This window comes from Homo sapiens, chromosome 3, assembly GCF_000001405.40.
Source record: "Homo sapiens chromosome 3, GRCh38.p14 Primary Assembly".
NCBI lineage: Eukaryota > Metazoa > Chordata > Mammalia > Primates > Hominidae > Homo > Homo sapiens.
The window spans coordinates 10,032,617-10,049,860 of NC_000003.12; the positions used below are offsets into that span (position 1 = coordinate 10,032,617).

Here is a 17,244-nt window from a genome sequence, read left to right on the forward strand (position 1 = left end):
ATTTTGAATTCTTCAAATGAAAATAGGTGAAAATAATTCTATTTGTTTGTTTTGGAAGCCACTATTGCTGAAGACAGTTTATTTCACTACAGCATCAATCCTAGTATAATTTTTAAGGACACATCAGTTTTCCTCTCATGATTATTATTCCTGGGTTTAAGTTTTAATTTTTCCTTTACTATTTGCCATATTCTTGAAAATTTTTCTATTTTCAGAAACCAGGAAGCAACCACTTTCCAAAAAGACAAAGAAATCTCATATTGCTAATGAAGTTGAAGAAAATGACAGCATCTTTGTAAAGCTTCTTAAGATATCAGGAATTATTCTTAAAACGGGAGAGAGTCAGAATCAACTAGGTAATATTTTAATCTAATTTTATTCTCTGGGTTTAATGAAATAGTTCAGGACTGAATCATGGGTTTTCTAAATAGAGAGGCAATGAAGATTAGAAATCAGAGGGCCATCCATCTTGAGACAAAGTTGAAATTGCTTTTTAGAAAATGGTACAGTCAGGCCGGGCGCGGTGGCTCACGTTTATCATCCCAGCACTTTGGGAGGCTCGAGGCAGGCGGATTGCCTGAGCTCAGGAATTTGCGACCGGCCTGGGCAACACGTCTCTACTAAAATATAAAAAATTAGCCGGGCATGGTGGCATGTGCCTGTAGTCCCAGCTGCTTGGGCGCCTGAGTCAGGAGAATTGCTTGAACCCGGGAGGTGAAAGTTGCAGTGAGTCAAGATCGCACCACTGCACTCCAGCCTGGGCGACAAGAGTGAGACTCCATTTCCAAAAAACAAAAATGGAAAAAGAAAATGGTACAGTCTTTGGTCCTCATTACTATGTCTTAAGTAAAGCATTTCTCATCCTTTTATTAGAAAAAATATTATATATTATTTATTTTGTGTTTTCTTATGAAAAAATAAATATCCAGAAAGCAGCTGTATCAGTGTCAGAATAATTTCAGAAGAAAATTTATAAAGCCATATAAGATTCTGTTTTGGGGGAGCAGATTATTCTATCTTGCTAAGGTTATGGCAGGTCTTTTTTAGAACACTTAGTGGCTATCTGCTATCAAAGCTAAGTCTTTTTTTTTTTTTTTTTTTTGAGACGGAGTCTTGCTCTGTCGCCCAGGCTGGAGTGCAGTGGCGCGATCTCTGCTCACTGCAAGCTCCACCTCCCAGGTTCACACCATTCTGCCTCAGCTTCCCAAGTAGCTGGGACTACAGGCGCCCGCCACCATGCCTGACTAATTTTTTGTATTTTTAGTAGAGACGGAGTTTCACCGTGTTAGCCAGGATGGTCTTGATCTCCTGACCTTGTGATCCACCTGCCTCGGCCTCCCAAAGTGCTGGGATTACAGGCATGAGCCACCGCGCCCAGCCAAAGCTAAGTCTTTTATGTGGGTTTAGACACAACCCCATGACTCTGGGCTGGGCACAGTGGCTTATGCCTGTAATCCCAGCACTTGGGAGGCTGAGGAGGGTGGATCACGAGGTCAGGAAATCGAGACCATCCTGGCTAACACAGTGAAACCCTGTCTCTACTAAAAATACAAAAAACGAAACAAAACAAAAAAAAACGTGTCTGTAGTCCCAGCTACTTGGGGGGGCTGAGGCAGGAGAATCATTTGAACCCAGGAGGCGGAAGTTCCTGTGAGCTGAGATCACGCCACTGCACTCCAGCCTAGGCAACAGAACAAAACTCCATCTCAAAAAAAAAAAAAAAAAAAAAGATTTGTCTCTGAAATTAGGTTGAAAATATTTTTATTGGTTTCATCAGGCAAGAAACTTGGGTTTTTAGAGAAGGAAAACTATGGTAGGAAACTGGTGACCAGCTCTTCTTTTTTCTGCATAGCTGTGGATCAAATAGCTTTCCAAAAGAAGCTCTTTCAGACCCTGAGGAGACACCCTTCCTATCCCAAAGTATGTATTTTTCCCCTGGTATTTTTGCTTGTGCCAGCATAACTCTAGAATTTGGAATTTAAGGACACTGGTATAAAGTTGAGTGGGCTAGAATGATTTTTAACAGCAAATATTAAACTAAAAATTTTATTCTTTTTTATTTTTTAAATCTCCTTAAGATAATAGAAGAATTTGTTAGTGGCCTGGAGTCTTACATTGAGGATGAAGACAGTTTCAGGAACTGCCTTTTGTCTTGTGAGCGTCTGCAGGATGAGGAAGCCAGGTGTGGAGAGGAGGCATGGAATCTTGCTGAAATTCAGTCTGTTTTGCCAACTTCATGGGGCTGGGGAGGGAGAGCACAGTTGTTTCAAATTTCATTTTTGGTGTAAGCTCTGTTTTCCTCAGAGTTTAAACTAAGTTTAAAATTCCTAAGCTTGTGGTTATGAGCCTAACAATCAGTGTTTTACCTATGCTGACAGAATTTCAAATCTCTACCTCTCCCTTGCAAAGAGCCATCTGCTCATTTCTGTATTTCTTGTCTAACAGGGTAGTTCCTCTTTAAATATTATGTATTTAACCAATTTTATTGAGAAAAGATGATAAAAGCATTAAAACAAGGAAAGCAAAGTGGAAAACAGATTTCTTTTTTTTTTACAGTATGGGTGCATCTTATTCTAAGAGTCTCATCAAACTGCTTCTGGGGATTGACATACTGCAGGTAAGACTGTCACTTTTTCTGTGAACATTTGATGGAAGAGGTTTGTGGTGTATGCTCAAGTCTAAATAGCGGGAACACAGGATAGAGTAGGGTTAATTGGAGAATTTGGGTTTGTAGCAGCTTTAGCACAGCCCTGTTGCTGTGATGGGTTTGGTAGGGTAATGTCTGTGTTTTAAAACTGTGCTTATTAGCCTAATACATCTGGCGGCCCCATTTATTCTCTCTGCATCTGATTCCTGTTCTTAAAGCTGCATCCTGTGTATCTCTGAGTATCTGGTAATCTTTATCATATTCATATCTACATTATCTCCCATTTAGCTTTTTAGATGCTTATGTAACTTAATTTTGTCCTTTTCCTCCTCCTCGTCTCTTTTATTAAGTAGACAATACATTGATATGATTTAAATATCTCAAGTTATACAAATGTATATAGAGCAGAAAACTTCCCTCCACCCCATTCTCCATTTTTCCTCTTCTCCCCTACTGTTAATCTTTTCACACTCTTAAACTCTTCCTTTTCACTGGAAATCTTGAAGATAATTTAGTTATTTTAAGTCTAAGAGCTCCCTTGTTCCTCCTGAGAGCTCCCCTTGCAAGTTATTTGATAATCTTTTAAAGTTTGCATTTTGTGGATTAACAGTTATTGTATTTAATAATATTTTAATTATCTGATTATTTTAACGTTGCCTTGATAATCATTTTCAGTTTTTCAGAAGACAAATTAAGTCTTTGTATTCCAATAGCATATTCTAAAAATGAAGACATATTCGTGTGGATATCCTTGTAATAAGATATCAACTTTAGCAAAGTGTTTATTCCAGGAGCTCTAGTTGGAAAGAGAATTATACATTTCTTTTTTTTTTTTTTTTTTTGAGTCAGAGTCTCCTTTGTCACCCAGGCTGGAGTGGAGTGGTGCAATCTCGGCTCACTGCAATCTCTGCCTTCCCCAGGTCCAAGAGGTTCTCGTGCCTCAGCCTCCCAAGTAGCTGGGATTATACATTTCTATTGTGTATTTTGAGATCATCTCCTAACTCCCTATGTCTTCTTTTTTAGCCTGCCATTATCAAAACCTTATTTGAGAAGTTGCCAGAATATTTTTTTGAAAAGTAAGTGGCGTTATTATGGAATGTTCAAAGTACCCTGATGTACTTAAGTTCTCTCTGAAAAGGTTACTCTGAAAACTATTGGTTTCTCTGAAAGTCATATTTATCATTATATTTCTTAAGTGACTACTAAAATTTTACTGGAGTGTCTTTGAAGTTTCATCTATTAATATGACTTTGTAAAAATAGATAGGATTACTGTTAAAAGTAACTATTGGCCTGGTGCAGTGGCTCACACCTGTAATCCCAACAGTTTGGGAAGCTGAGGGAGGAGGATTGCTTGAGTTCAGGAATTCAAGACCAGCCTGGGCAATGTAGTGAGACCTTGTCTGTATTTCAAAACAGAATTTTTTTTTTTTTTTTAAGTATCTGTTGCTTATGCTCAGGGATAATCCCTAGTAGAAGGATACACAATATACTGGTAATGGTAGTTGTCTCCAAAGAGGGTAGCCAGTTGGTTGGAATCAGGTATTTTCTGAATACTTTTCTTTACCTTTTAAATTTTGTAGTGTATGTTCAGACAGGGTCTCACTCTGTTGCCCAGGCTGGAGTGCCGTAGTACGATCATGGCTCACTGAGGCCTCCACCTCCCAGGCTTAAGTGATCCTCACACCTCAGCATCATGAGTGCCTGGGACTACAGGTGTGCGCCACCCGGTCCAGCTAATTTTCGTGGTTTTTTTTTTTTTGGTAGAGGTGGGGTTTCGCCATGTTGCCCAGGCTAGTCTCAAAACTTCCAGGCTCAAGTGGTCCACCTGCCTTAGCCTCTCAAACTACTGGGATGTGGCCCTACCTGTTTTTTTTTAATTACTATGTTAAGAAATGAACAGCCTAATAGAAAAGTAGACAAAGGTCATGAACAGACAGTTTACAAAGAAGAAATACAAGAACATCAAATATTTAAAAAGTTCAATTTTGTTAGCAATCAAAGGCACAAATTTAAAACACTGTATCAAAATAGTAAATAATAACTATTACACAGTAAAATAAATGCATTTTTTCCTACTCTCAAAGGGTCTCCTTGTTGAGTGTAGTGAATAGGCATGCTTGTACGTTGCTAGTGAGCATATAAATTAGTTCAGGCATCGATTCGGAAGAGCAATAGATTGTATGTGTCAAAAACCTTAGATTTTGCATACCCTTTAATCCTAATGTCATGTCTCCTCATTTATCCTAAGATAATAACTGTGAATGAAAATGAAATAATATTAGTTTAGTGCTTGCTTTGGCAGCACGTATACTAAAATTGGAACAATACAGAGATTAGCATGGCCCTTTTGCAAGGGTGATACCCAAATTTGTGAAGTGTTCCGTATATTGAAAAAGATTACTCTTTAAAATAAAGAAATGTAAATAATTGAGATGTTCAAAAAATAGAAATATTATGTGCACATTAATAATTGTAAAAAGAATTAGTTAATATCATACATTAATTGAAAAAAACAAACCCAGGTTACACATAGCACTTATATTAGGTTGGTGCAAAAGTAATTGCAGTTTTTGCAATAAGTAGTTCAGTATTTTGTTTAAAAAAGAAGATACACACATACACATATGTATATTAATAGTGTACCTTTCTGGAATGACAGGATTATAGTCATTTTTATGTTCTCCTTTTTAATTTTTTCAGAGTCCTGATACAGTAATAGTAAGTTTAAAGGTTTACTTATTTTGAGACGGAATCTCACTCTGTTGCCCAGGCTAGAGTACAGTGGTGCGATCTTGGCTCACTGCAACCTCTGCCTCCTGGGTTCAAGTGATTCTCCTGCCTCAGCCCCCCGAGTAGCTGGGATTACAGGTGTGCGCCACCACACCCAGCTAATTTTTGGTATTTTTAGTAGATATGAGGTTTCGCCATGTTGGCCAGGCTGGCCTCGAACTCCTGACCTCAAGTGATCTGCTTGCCTCAGCCCCACAAAGTGCTGGGATTGCAGGAGTGAGCCACTGCACCCACTGAAGGTTTATTTTTTCAAATTTGTTTTAGCTAAATGTCTCATGCTGGATGCTTTACATCCTGGCTAGTCTTTTTCAGTTAAGATTGGCTGCAATAACAAGGACCATGCTGTCAAGGAGATGGAAGTGGTCCAAAACTTTAGATATAGGAGGCTCGAAGGAAGGTGGAAACTATCATATTTGGAAAAATGATAATTGAGCCAACATTTCTTTATTTATAAATGATTTTTAGTACTTTTATAAATATAATCTAATTTGACTTTCTATGTTCCCTTAGCAATATATGCTTGCTTTTTTTTTTTTTTTTTTGAGACAGAGTCTTGGCTCTGTCACCCAGGCTGGAGTGCAGTGGCACGATCTCAACTCACTGCAACCTCCGCCTTCTGGGTTCAAGCGATTCTCCTGCCTCAGCCTCCCAAGTAGCTGGGATTACAGGTACCCACCATCGTGCCCAGCTAATTTTTGTATTTTTAGTAGAGATGGGGTTTCACCGTGTTGGCCAGGCTGGTCTTGAACTCCTGGCCTCATGTGATCTGCCCACCTTGGCCTCCCAAAGTGCTGGGATTACAGGCATGAGCCACTGCATCTGACTTATGCTTGCCTTTTTAAGCACTTACTGCGTTGATGTTATTAGTGTCTTACCTTTTAAAAATACTTGTCATATTCAGTTTTTAAGATTTATTAACATTGTCTTTTTAAAAATTATTATTAAGAGATGCTGTCTAGCCCTGTCATCCCTTCTCTCTAAATCCTCCCTGGATGTAGTCACTGTTCATATTTAGCATGTCTTCTAGACATTTTTCTTAACATACGTAAGCATGTATCTCCTGCATCTTGGGTATCACTTGTGTGTCTAGTGCAGTGCCGAATGCATAGTAGGTGTTCGGTAAATGTTAATGGAATGGCTAAAATATTTTGTGCAGTATTAATGCTTGCTGTTATTTTGACCAGAAAGGCTCAGTTCCCTGTTTTCTCTTCCTAACATTTTAGCAAGAACAGTGATGAAATCAACATACCTCGACTCATTGTCAGTCAACTAAAATGGCTTGACAGAGTTGTGGATGGCAAGGTAGGCTTATGGACTTTATCTCTTGAATTTAAAGAGTATGTTTCTCATATCTTTTGGAGGTTGTATTTTTTTTTCTTTCTAAACAGAAAATTCATACTTTTCCATCCATCCATTAGCTTTTTCCAATTTTCATAATTTGAGAATCATAGATACTTCACCCTTTAAATTTCAGAAAAGTTTAAATACGAAGAGTAGATATCATTTATTAAATAAATTAAATATTTGGGAAGATTCTTTTTCAAAGTACAGAGATAAATGACTGTGTTTATTTCTCAAATAATTTCAGCTCTGCATTTCACACGTAGGTAGTCTTTCTTTATTCTGGGTAATGTGCTGCAGTTCTAATAGTGTCTTCTACTGCAGGACCTCACCACCAAGATCATGCAGCTGATCAGTATTGCTCCAGAGAACCTGCAGCATGACATCATCACCAGCCTACCTGAGATCCTAGGGGATTCCCAGCACGCTGATGTGGGGAAAGAACTCAGGTGGATAAACCCTCTGTCATCATCTAAGTGAGGCTCAGCTATGGGGGTTCTATCACTGCAGTATGCAAAGAGCAGTAGTAATATGGTCTCTTCTATCTAAAAAGAGGATGATACCCCCCTTCATGAGTAGGGTATGGGATTTGACTTAAAAAAAAAAGGTATATATTTGAATAGATCCACATACTTTCTTTTTTTTTTTTTTTTTTTCTGAGACAGTCTTGCTCTGTCGCCCAGGCTGGAGTGCAGTGGTGCGATCTCAGCTCACTGCAACCTCCGCCTCCTGGGTTCACCCCATTCTCCTGCCTCAGCCTCCCAAGTAGCTGGGACTAGAGGCACCTGCTACCATGCCCGACTAATTTTTTTGGTATTTTTAGTAGAGACGGGGTTTCACCATGTTAGCCAGGATGGTCTCGATCTCCTGACCTTGTGATCCGCCCTCCTCGGCCTCCCAGAGTGCTGGGATTACAGGCATGAGCCACCGTGCCTGGCCCCATGTACTTTCTTTTAAATGGTATACCTGTTATGAGCGTGAAGTCTGGCTTAGGATTAGATATCTAAATTTGGCCAGTGGAGAAGTTGACCATGATCCCTTAAGTTTCATTAACTTGTTCTTCAGGGGGTCCTTAACCCTGGCTGCACATTAAAATCATTTGTGGAGCCTATTAAACATCTACCTTCTTTGGGTTCCTAGGTGATTCATTCTAATGCACAGTCCTGCATCAGACCGCTTGCGGAGACCCATTGCTTACTGTCATTCATTTGAAAAATAGTAATTGGTAGGGAAGTATTGAAGAAGGGGAGAACAATATCCCTAGGTAATAAAGTTTCCATCTTAATGCAACTTTTTATTGTACTAGAAGTATTTTTTTTAAATTCAGTTTGTAATACTTCCTTTTGTATAGTTGTCTGCAAAGCTACCTCCAAAACATCCAGTGATTTCTTGCCCTCATCCTTTTGGGCAGGATGCTCCTTCTGGGCAAAGTACTACGCCATCCACTTTACCTGCCTGATGCCAGCTCATCTCCTTTTGTATAGTCTTTTTTTTTTTTTAGCATCTGTCACCGTCTGTTGGGCGCAGTGGCTCATGCCTTTAATCCCAGCATGTTGGGCGGCTGAAGTGGGTGGGTCACTTGAGCCCAGGAGTTTGAGACCAGCCTGGACAACATGGTGAAAAGCCGTCTTTCAAAAACATACAAAAATTAGGTGGGCGTGGTGGTACGCACTTATAATTCTAGCTACTCAGGAGGCTGAGATGGGAGGATCAATTGAGCGTGGAAGGTCGAAGCTACAGTGAGCTGTGATGACACCACTGTAACTGTACTCAAGCCTGGGCATCAGAGTAAGACCCTGTCTCAAAAAACAAACAAACAAAAAAAAAAGCAATCTATCACTGTCCTTCTCACTATGTTGTGCTCCTGTAGCACCACCTACATGTGTCTCTCATACTTATCAGATTTCATTGTAAATGTTTTGGGTTTTCTTTTTCCTTTTTGCGGGGAAGGATACATACCAAACTAAATAGTGGTGTTCTCTGGGTAGTGGGGATTGTGATGGAAGGCTTCTTGTTTCTACTTTTATTATTTGAATTTTTATAATGAGCATGTATTATTTTTTGCAGTCAAAACAATTTTTAAAGAAACATACTATAAACGGTAACTTAATGGCAACTAAGTATGTCCTTTATTTTCATACTCTAATAAATGATTTTCTCAAGTCATTGTCTGCCCAGCTCTGTTCAAACCATTATACAACTTTTTTCTTTTTCTACCATTCACAGTGACCTACTGATAGAGAATACTTCACTCACTGTCCCAATCCTGGATGTCCTTTCAAGCCTCCGACTTGACCCAAACTTCCTATTGAAGGTAGAAAAGACTCAGCTTTCCAGAAACAGAGCCAGCTTTCCAACCTCCCAGAACAAGTGTCAGTCAGTCATTGCCTTGGGAGTAATGAATATTTCATTTTGAAACCATAGTGAATCACATTTGATATCTCTCTTTTTTTTTTTTTTTCCCCTCAATGAGTTTCAGATGCTATTCTATGGTAGAGTCACAGGTCTGTTTTTTTTTTTGAGACGGAGTATCACTCTGTCACCCAGGCTGGAGTGCAGTGGTGCAATCTCCGCTAACTGCAACCTCTACCTACCAAGTTCAAGCAGTTCCCTGACTCAGCCTCCCAAGTAGCTGGGGTTACAGGCACCTGCCACCACTCCCGGCTAATTTTTGTATTTTTAGTAGAGACGGGGTTTCACCATATTGTCCAGGCTGGTCTTGAACTCCGGACCTTGTTTTCCACCCCCCTCGGCCTCCCAAAGTGCTGGGATTACAGGCTTGAGCCACCGTGCCTGGCCCACAGGTCTGTTTTTAAGCAGTAAGTTTTGAGTGGAAATCTTCCATGTTGTCTGAGTCATACCTGCTTCCCATAGGAATAATACTTTTTATGCCTTACTGTAGCCAGTTGAGAATTTAGGCTCTAAATGTAAGATAATAGCTCTGTTTCACATTTATTGCCCGTCTATTTTTGATGAAGCTGTGGTATTAACAACTAAAAGATTCTAATTTGGGGAAAAATCTAAAATTTTGTTTTTCCCTAAATTATAAGTGGGAAGATGGAGTAAGAGAAGTGATTTTTTTCTAATTTTATCTAACAGTTCAGTACAAAGTTGAGGTAGTGACATGAAAACCTATTAAGTTTCTGTGCTTTTAATTTTTAGGTTCGCCAGTTGGTGATGGATAAGTTGTCGTCTATTAGATTGGAGGATTTACCTGTGATAATAAAGTTCATTCTTCATTCCGTAACAGCCATGGATACACTTGAGGTATGCTCTTATATCCCATCACACCTAGATAAAGCAACTTAAGTGCCAATTGCTCTTCTCTGTCCCCAGACTAACTGAGAATACTGACTAATCCGGATAGCATTCAGAGGAGAGAATGGAGCTATTCAACAGATTCATTGATCTATATAAGCTGCTATAAGTTACATTTACTCTTCCTGTGTAGTACCTCACAGAATTCTGAAATTTTGGGTATGATGTTCTATGACATTGCATTGGCTATTCTCATAACTCTATTTTTCAAAATGTCCAACATTTAAATTTTTTTCTTCCTCAGTCTTTCAGGAGATTGTCATGGTAGAGAGACTGGACTGTGCCTACCCACTATGAATGAGCAGAAAACCATAGCTAATATTTACTTTCTGCAGGTAATTTCTGAGCTTCGGGAGAAGTTGGATCTGCAGCATTGTGTTTTGCCATCACGGTTACAGGCTTCCCAAGTAAAGTTGAAAAGTAAAGGACGAGCAAGGTAAAGAGCTCATCCTCACACAGGATGTCACAATTTTCTGACATCCCACTGTCAGAGTTAGAGCTTAATACTACTACAAATAATGATACTATTATGACATTTACATCTAGTATTATATTGTTTTTCAAATTACATATATGTATGTGAGTATGTATGTGTTTATATATTTTCTTAGCCATTCAGATCAATCCCAGACAGACGACAGTGCAAGTTTATTAGCCATCTTATACATGAGGTTGTCATTTGCTCCAGGGTACATGGCAGGAACTCCGATCTTGTAAGTTCTTTTCTGGTACGTAGAAGAGTAATTTTTTTCCTCTCTGCTACTTGTAGTTCCTCAGGAAATCAAGAAAGCAGCGGTCAGAGCTGTATTATTCTCCTCTTTGATGTAATAAAGTCAGCTATTAGATATGAGAAAACCATTTCAGAAGCCTGGATTAAGGTGAGATCTTTGGAACTTTGATTATCAAGGAGGAAATGAGTGGCAATTAGTGACAGATGTATAACTGAGGTAGACTGAAATAAAAATCTCAAAACTCATTCAAGTGGAAATGATAGCTGATGGTTGCCAGATGGACACATTGGCTCTTAGATGAGATAACAGGGCATGCTGAATAAGGTGTAACGTGTTTCGCTGATGTGTCATAATATTTTTGTGACTCTCTCCTGTTTTTTCAGGCAATTGAAAACACTGCCTCAGTATCTGAACACAAGGTAATGTTCATGTACTATGCATTTTCAGTATTGCAGACTTAAAAGTAATGACATTGGCTAGCTTGCCTTCCCACTGTCTTTCTTTCTCCCCCCTCCAGTCACTCTTCTCTCTCTTCCCTAGTTGCTCTAATAAACATTAGCTGTCTGGGGAAGATAATCTGAGGTGGCGACTGGCCAGATAGCCTGCCCCTACTCACTCTGGCTATAAAATAAGCCTACAGTATCCACAAGGGGAAATACTAACAGTGTAAACAAGCACATCAAGGTGCAGTCAAAGAAGCCAGGTCCCCACTGATGAGATGAAGAAAATAACCACCTAAGTCTCAGGTCCCTGTATCTGCCTAATTGCCCTTCCTTCCACTCAGCACCACTGTCAAGATAATGGCATTCCATGTTTTACTTTACTTTGCTCATGTAGACCTGACTAGAGTAAATCAATCTGTCCACTGTCAAGGCAGTGGTACTGGATCTTATGTCTCTATTAATTCTAGAAATACCTTCCATCAAAAAGCCAGATGATTGGCCGGGCGCGGTAGCTCACGCCTATAATCCCAGCACTTTGGGAGGCTGAGGCAGGCGGATCATCTGAGGTCAGGAGTTTGAGACCAGCCTGGCCAATGTAGCGAAACCCCGTCTCTACTAAAAATACAAAAAAAATTAGCCTGGCCTGGTGGCACACGCCACTGCACTCCAGCCTGGGCGACAGTGCAAGACTCCATCTCAAAAGATAAAAAGCCGGATGATTGAGTTCCTTAGGTGCTGATTGGTTGCCTTTAAAGATTTTTCTTTGGTTGGAATCTGTTTTGTGGGATTTTTGTTAGTTTTGTTATCCAATTTTGGGATGATTATCTTAAAAGCTTTCATGATGCTGAATAAAGCAATGAAAATTCAGAATTTTTTCTGGTGAAAAATATCAAAGTACTCCAACACACTGTTTTTGGTTTTGGATAAACATAAATTTACCACCTTGGCTGCCTGCATACCTATTTTTACATATTTGTAATCATTGTATAAATATAATTTGTATTCTTACTTTTTTTTCTTAACATTTTTTCTCCTGTCATAAATATTTCAAGGTCTGCATTGTCTTCATTGTTATCTTTAATGACTGTATTCTGGTCTAATAACTCAGTTTTGGTGTCCTAAGAAGTGGAGCATTCAGTTAAGATAAGTAGTAAAATTTTTTTTGTTTTTTCTTGTTTGTCCTGCTTGCCTTTTTAACTGTTTTTTTTTTTTTCCTGGAAGCATAGACTCAGGTTGCCCTGAATACACGCCCAATGTTTTCTCTTTTTTTGTTTTGTTTTGTTTTTGTTTTTGTTTTTGAGACGGGTTCTCACTCTGTCACCTAGGCTGGACTGCACTGGCGTGATCTCGGCTCACTGCAAGCTCCGCCTCCTGGGTTCACGCCATTCTCCCGCTTCAGCCTCCCAAGTAGCTGGGACTACAGGCACCTGCCACCACGCCCGGCTAATTTTTTGTATTTTTAGTGGAAATGGGGCTTCATCATGTTAGCCAGGATGGTCTCAATCTCCTGACCTCATGATCTGCCCGCCTCGGCCTCCCAAAGTGCTGGGATTATAGGCGTGAGCCACCATGCCTAGCATGGCTTATTCTTCCTGATGACTGTGTAATATTCCAAAAATTAAAATTACTCCATCATAATTTATTGAACCTTTCCTGTATTGATGTATTGATGGGCATTTATAGTCTTTCCAACTTTTCACAAAGTAATTTTCCTTTTTTTTTTTTTTTTTTGAGACAAAGTCTTGCTCTGTCACCTAGGCTCGAGTGCAGTGGCTCGATCTCGGCTCACTGCAACCTCTGTCACCCGGGTTCAAGCGATTCTCCTGTCTCAGCTTCCCAAGTAGGTGGGATTACAGGTGTGTGCTACTTTGCCCGGCTAATTTGTGTATTTTTAGTAGAGACAGGGTTTCAGCATCTTGGCCAGGCTGGTCTTGAACTCCTGACGTCGTAATCCACCCATCTCGGCCTCCCAAAGTGCTGGGATTACAGGCGTGAGCCACCGTGCCTGGCCTAGTAATTTTCCTAGTAATACTGAAAATACATACTGTAGTTGGCAACAAATACACGCTGGAGTTGGCAAGTGATTGAATCTTTCTTTTAATAAATGTCAAGATGTTCAGAGTTACTTCTGTAGTAATATCACTTTCATGCATATTGCTCTGTATTCTTTTTTTTTTTTTTTGAGAATGGAATCTCGCTCTCTCACCCAGGCTGGAGTGCAGTGGCGCGATCTCGGCTCACTGTAAGCTCTGCCTCCCGGGTTCACGCCATTCTCCTGCCTCAGCCTCCCCAGCAGCTGGGACTATAGGTGCATGCTGCCACACCCGGCTAATTTTTTGTATTTTTAGTAGAGACGGGGTTTCACCGTGTTAGTCAGGATGGTCTCGATCTCCTGACCTTGTGATCTGCCCGCCTTGGCCTCCCAAAGTGCTGGGATTACAGATGTGAGCCACTGTGCCTGGCCTGCTCTGTATTCTTAAGGGGTATCAATGGTTAACAGTTGTGGCACTTTATTTATCTGAAAAATATTTCTGAGTTTTGTGAAAAGTGTAGATACTCCCAGGGGAGTGTGTGGAACAAATGAGCATTATCCATTCTGTGTTTTAATTAGAGGAAAAGCTGCTGTTTCATTGTAGCAAATGTACTGATTTGTTAACTGTTTTTCTGTTGTTGCATATTTATTGACAATAGGTGTTTGACCTGGTGATGCTTTTCATCATCTATAGCACCAATACTCAGACAAAGAAGTACATTGACAGGGTGCTAAGAAATAAGATTCGATCAGGCTGCATTCAAGAACAGCTGCTCCAGAGTACATTCTCTGTTCATTACTTAGTAAGTGTCAGAGACTATTGATTTTTAATCTAAAACAGAAAGCTTTACAGCTCTCATGTAAAATTTCATCTTATTTCAGTCCATTGTTCAAACCCATTGAGATTTTTGAATTTTGTTTTTGCATTAATCATTTTAATTGTCTATCTCAATGCAGTTTGCAACTTTGACAAACTGGCCTTCCGTATCCTATTTAAGTAGCTTATAAAAACCTTGAGGGGAATAGGACCAGCCTGTAGAAACTAGTAGAAATGTAAATATGTACCTATTTGAACTATCACTCTTTAGCCATTCAAAACTGTGGACTTTAGGTGATAATTCCTCTAGAAATGTAAATTATTCAAAGTGGAATTTTATAAGCTAGGAATAGTGTTTTGCCAGCTGAACGTTCAGGATATTAGCAGTATAGAACTTAGAAAACTGGATGGGCCAGTGGTTTGGGGTTTGGGTTAGGAGCTAATGAGAATACCTCGCTGGGTCTTAAATTTTATATTTAGGAATAGATTTAACGGTTGTATTATTTTATCTTGCAGTTCTTTCTGTGTTTATTTCTGCCAATTATACATGTTTTGGGCTGTAATTTTCTAGATGCAGAAACCACATGTAATTTTTCATTGCATTTTCCCCAATAAAGCATTATACCCAGCTTAGTACTAAATATAAGATTTTTAAAAATTATGGTATCAATAAGGAAGCTATGTTTATTAACTGGTTATTTAGTCTGGGTCCATTAATGTCTATGTACATTGAATTATTGGTAGGTTATGATCACTTCTCTTCTTGATCTTCTTTTAAAAAAATCAGCTTAGTTAGCATTGAACCTTATAGACCTACTTCAAATTATAACCAAGGTGGAACATCCCTGGGGGTAGTATGATTGCATGGGGAAACTGGGATTTAGAACATCTGGCCTCCAATCCCAAATTGAGCAGATAGGAATGTTCTATTAGGCTTGTAATTTAACTTCTTTGAGCTTAAAAGTCAATTATTATCCAAACGTGGAATCCCATTGATGCTGAGAGTAATCTCAGAATGATGAAGGATTATTTTTGTGTAAAACAAAGATTAAGATTTCCTAAGTTAAAATGAGAGCTAGGGAGGAGAAGTCTGACATTCCAAAAGGATAAGCAACTCTTAGGTTGTGTACTAACTGTTTCCTACAGCTTCTTTTCTCTCTCTACTCTTCCCCACTCAAGGTTCTTAAGGATATGTGTTCATCCATTCTGTCGCTGGCTCAGAGTTTGCTTCACTCTCTAGACCAGAGTATAATTTCATTTGGCAGTCTCCTATACAAATATGCATTTAAGTTTTTTGACACGTACTGCCAGCAGGTATGTTGAAACATTTATTTTGGCAAGGAGGGAACACAGAAAGGGAAAATAATCTGATGTTTATTTCTTGTTGGTTGGAACTCACTGAAGGGGAAGGAACTCTGACCTGGGTCTCAAGAAAGCTCAATTCTAGTCCCAGCCTTGATGAAAGGAAGAGACTTGACTGGTGGCTCTAACTCTGTGTTCTGAGCTCTAAAATTCTCTGTCTGAAATTAAGATCCAGATCTAGTCCATTTCAAAACATGAGACACTTTTTTTTGTTTTGTTTTGAGACGTGGTTTTGCTCTTCATGCCCAGGCTGGAGTGCAGTGGTGCTATCTCAGCTCACTGCAACCTTCACCTCCTGGGTTCAAGCGATTCTCCTGTCTCAGCTTCCTAAGTAGCTGTGATTACAGGCACACACCACCACGCCCGGTTAATTTTTTGTATTTTTAGTAGACACAGCGTTTCACCATGTTGGCCAGGCTGGTCTCGAACTCCTGACCTCAGGTGAACCGCCTGCCTCAGCCTCTCAAAGTGCTGGGATTATAGGCGTGAGCCATTGGGCCTGGCCGAGACACATTTTAATAGCATATATCCAGAGAGGGAGGACTGTATTTGTGGAAAATGTTTATGAAAGCAAGTAAAGAACAGTGTCTTATTTTGTATTTTTACATATATTCTTCCTGTCATTAACAATGTTAAAACGCATTTGAATGGAACTTTTAAAATGAAGATTTGTAAAAAAATTTTAAACATTTAAAGTAGAGCAATAGTTGCAGCTGACATGAGGTAGCTGTTGCAGTTGAAAATGTAATTCTGTTATGACTATTATGGAGTGACAGTATAAAGGGAGAATGGCATCTAAGACATTTCTGGACCCTCTTAATGTCTTAGAGACACTGTCATAATCCATGTTTGCTTGGAAACATGCAAGTCTAGCCTGTACTATATGGAGAAAACCTTTAAAGCTTTTAGCTCCTTGAGTGCCATCTTTTTGAGGAATTTCAACTGATCTTGTACAACCTCAACCTAAAGGGTAAAATTTAACCCATATGGGAAAAAGAAAGAGGAAAACTACGCCAAGGAGCAAAATCAGGAGGGCTTAGGTAGAGCTCACTGATAAAATATGGGAAATAGGTCAAGATGGGATGGTCAAGTTACACTGGCATATTCCTAAATCTCCTGAAGCCAACATTAATGAAAACTAGATAATAGGTGATGGGTTTGGGTTGATTGTGATTTTAACAAAGTAGAGATTGGAGAGGCCTTGGGGGTGAATCCCTTTAGAATGGCCATCCATATTTTGTTTTACACTGTTCTGTTGACTCTCCCCTGTATAGGAAGTGGTTGGTGCCTTAGTGACCCATATCTGCAGTGGGAATGAAGCTGAAGTTGATACTGCCTTAGATGTCCTTCTAGAGTTGGTAGTGTTAAACCCATCTGCTATGATGATGAATGCTGTCTTTGTAAAGGTATCTTATTGGCTTCTTGTACTTTAGATATTGAATACTATAATTGGTGGGAGGTGGTGGGAAGGAGGTGAGATGATGGGCAAGTAATATAAATAAAAAGTGACTATTCTATCTATGTGTTAATTCATTCAGCAAACACTTCTTTATACCTAACCTACAGGCTAATCTCTATTCTGGGTGCTGTGAATGTAAAGTAGGCCCTTACCTTTCATGTTAAAGACTAAGACACATAAGCAAGTCACTATAAATACAACATGGTGAATTCTCTGGTAAAGTACTATAGATATAACAGAGTAAGAATAATTAAATTTAGCCTGGGAAGCTGGAGAATTCTTCAAAGAGGCAATGTGAGTGA

The 17,244-nt window shown here is 39.4% G+C and overlaps 1 protein-coding gene and 1 pseudogene across 6 annotated transcripts in view, besides 1 other annotated feature; both read left to right on the plus strand.

Annotated features, from left to right (window-relative positions):
- Positions 1–17,244, plus strand: part of FANCD2 (FA complementation group D2) — a 75,496-nt gene that overhangs the window by 6,180 nt on the left and 52,072 nt on the right. For 5 of the 6 annotated variants that reach the window (NM_001319984.2, NM_001018115.3, NM_001374253.1 and 2 more), the window contains exons 3-17: positions 216–356; positions 1,853–1,920; positions 2,079–2,182; positions 2,557–2,617; positions 3,671–3,723; positions 6,663–6,741; positions 7,105–7,229; positions 9,007–9,094; positions 9,943–10,047; positions 10,434–10,534; positions 10,868–10,976; positions 11,213–11,248; positions 13,964–14,107; positions 15,301–15,435; positions 16,758–16,889. In NM_001319984.2, the coding sequence (NP_001306913.1) occupies positions 216–356; positions 1,853–1,920; positions 2,079–2,182; positions 2,557–2,617; positions 3,671–3,723; positions 6,663–6,741; positions 7,105–7,229; positions 9,007–9,094; positions 9,943–10,047; positions 10,434–10,534; positions 10,868–10,976; positions 11,213–11,248; positions 13,964–14,107; positions 15,301–15,435; positions 16,758–16,889 (1,481 nt within the window). Of the gene's footprint in view, positions 1–215; positions 357–1,852; positions 1,921–2,078; positions 2,183–2,556; positions 2,618–3,670; positions 3,724–6,662; positions 6,742–7,104; positions 7,230–7,920; positions 8,071–9,006; positions 9,095–9,942; positions 10,048–10,433; positions 10,535–10,867; positions 10,977–11,212; positions 11,249–13,963; positions 14,108–15,300; positions 15,436–16,757; positions 16,890–17,244 lie in introns of those variants that run through there. The other variant, NM_001374255.1, reaches the window with a different exon arrangement.
- Positions 1–17,244: part of a biological region, named in NCBI's record as "3p25 FANCD2 Alu-mediated recombination region", that runs on past both edges of the window. NCBI's record gives its function as "recombination_partner: LOC107303341 | LOC107303342".
- RNU6-670P (RNA, U6 small nuclear 670, pseudogene) lies at positions 4,936–5,039 on the plus strand (annotated as a pseudogene).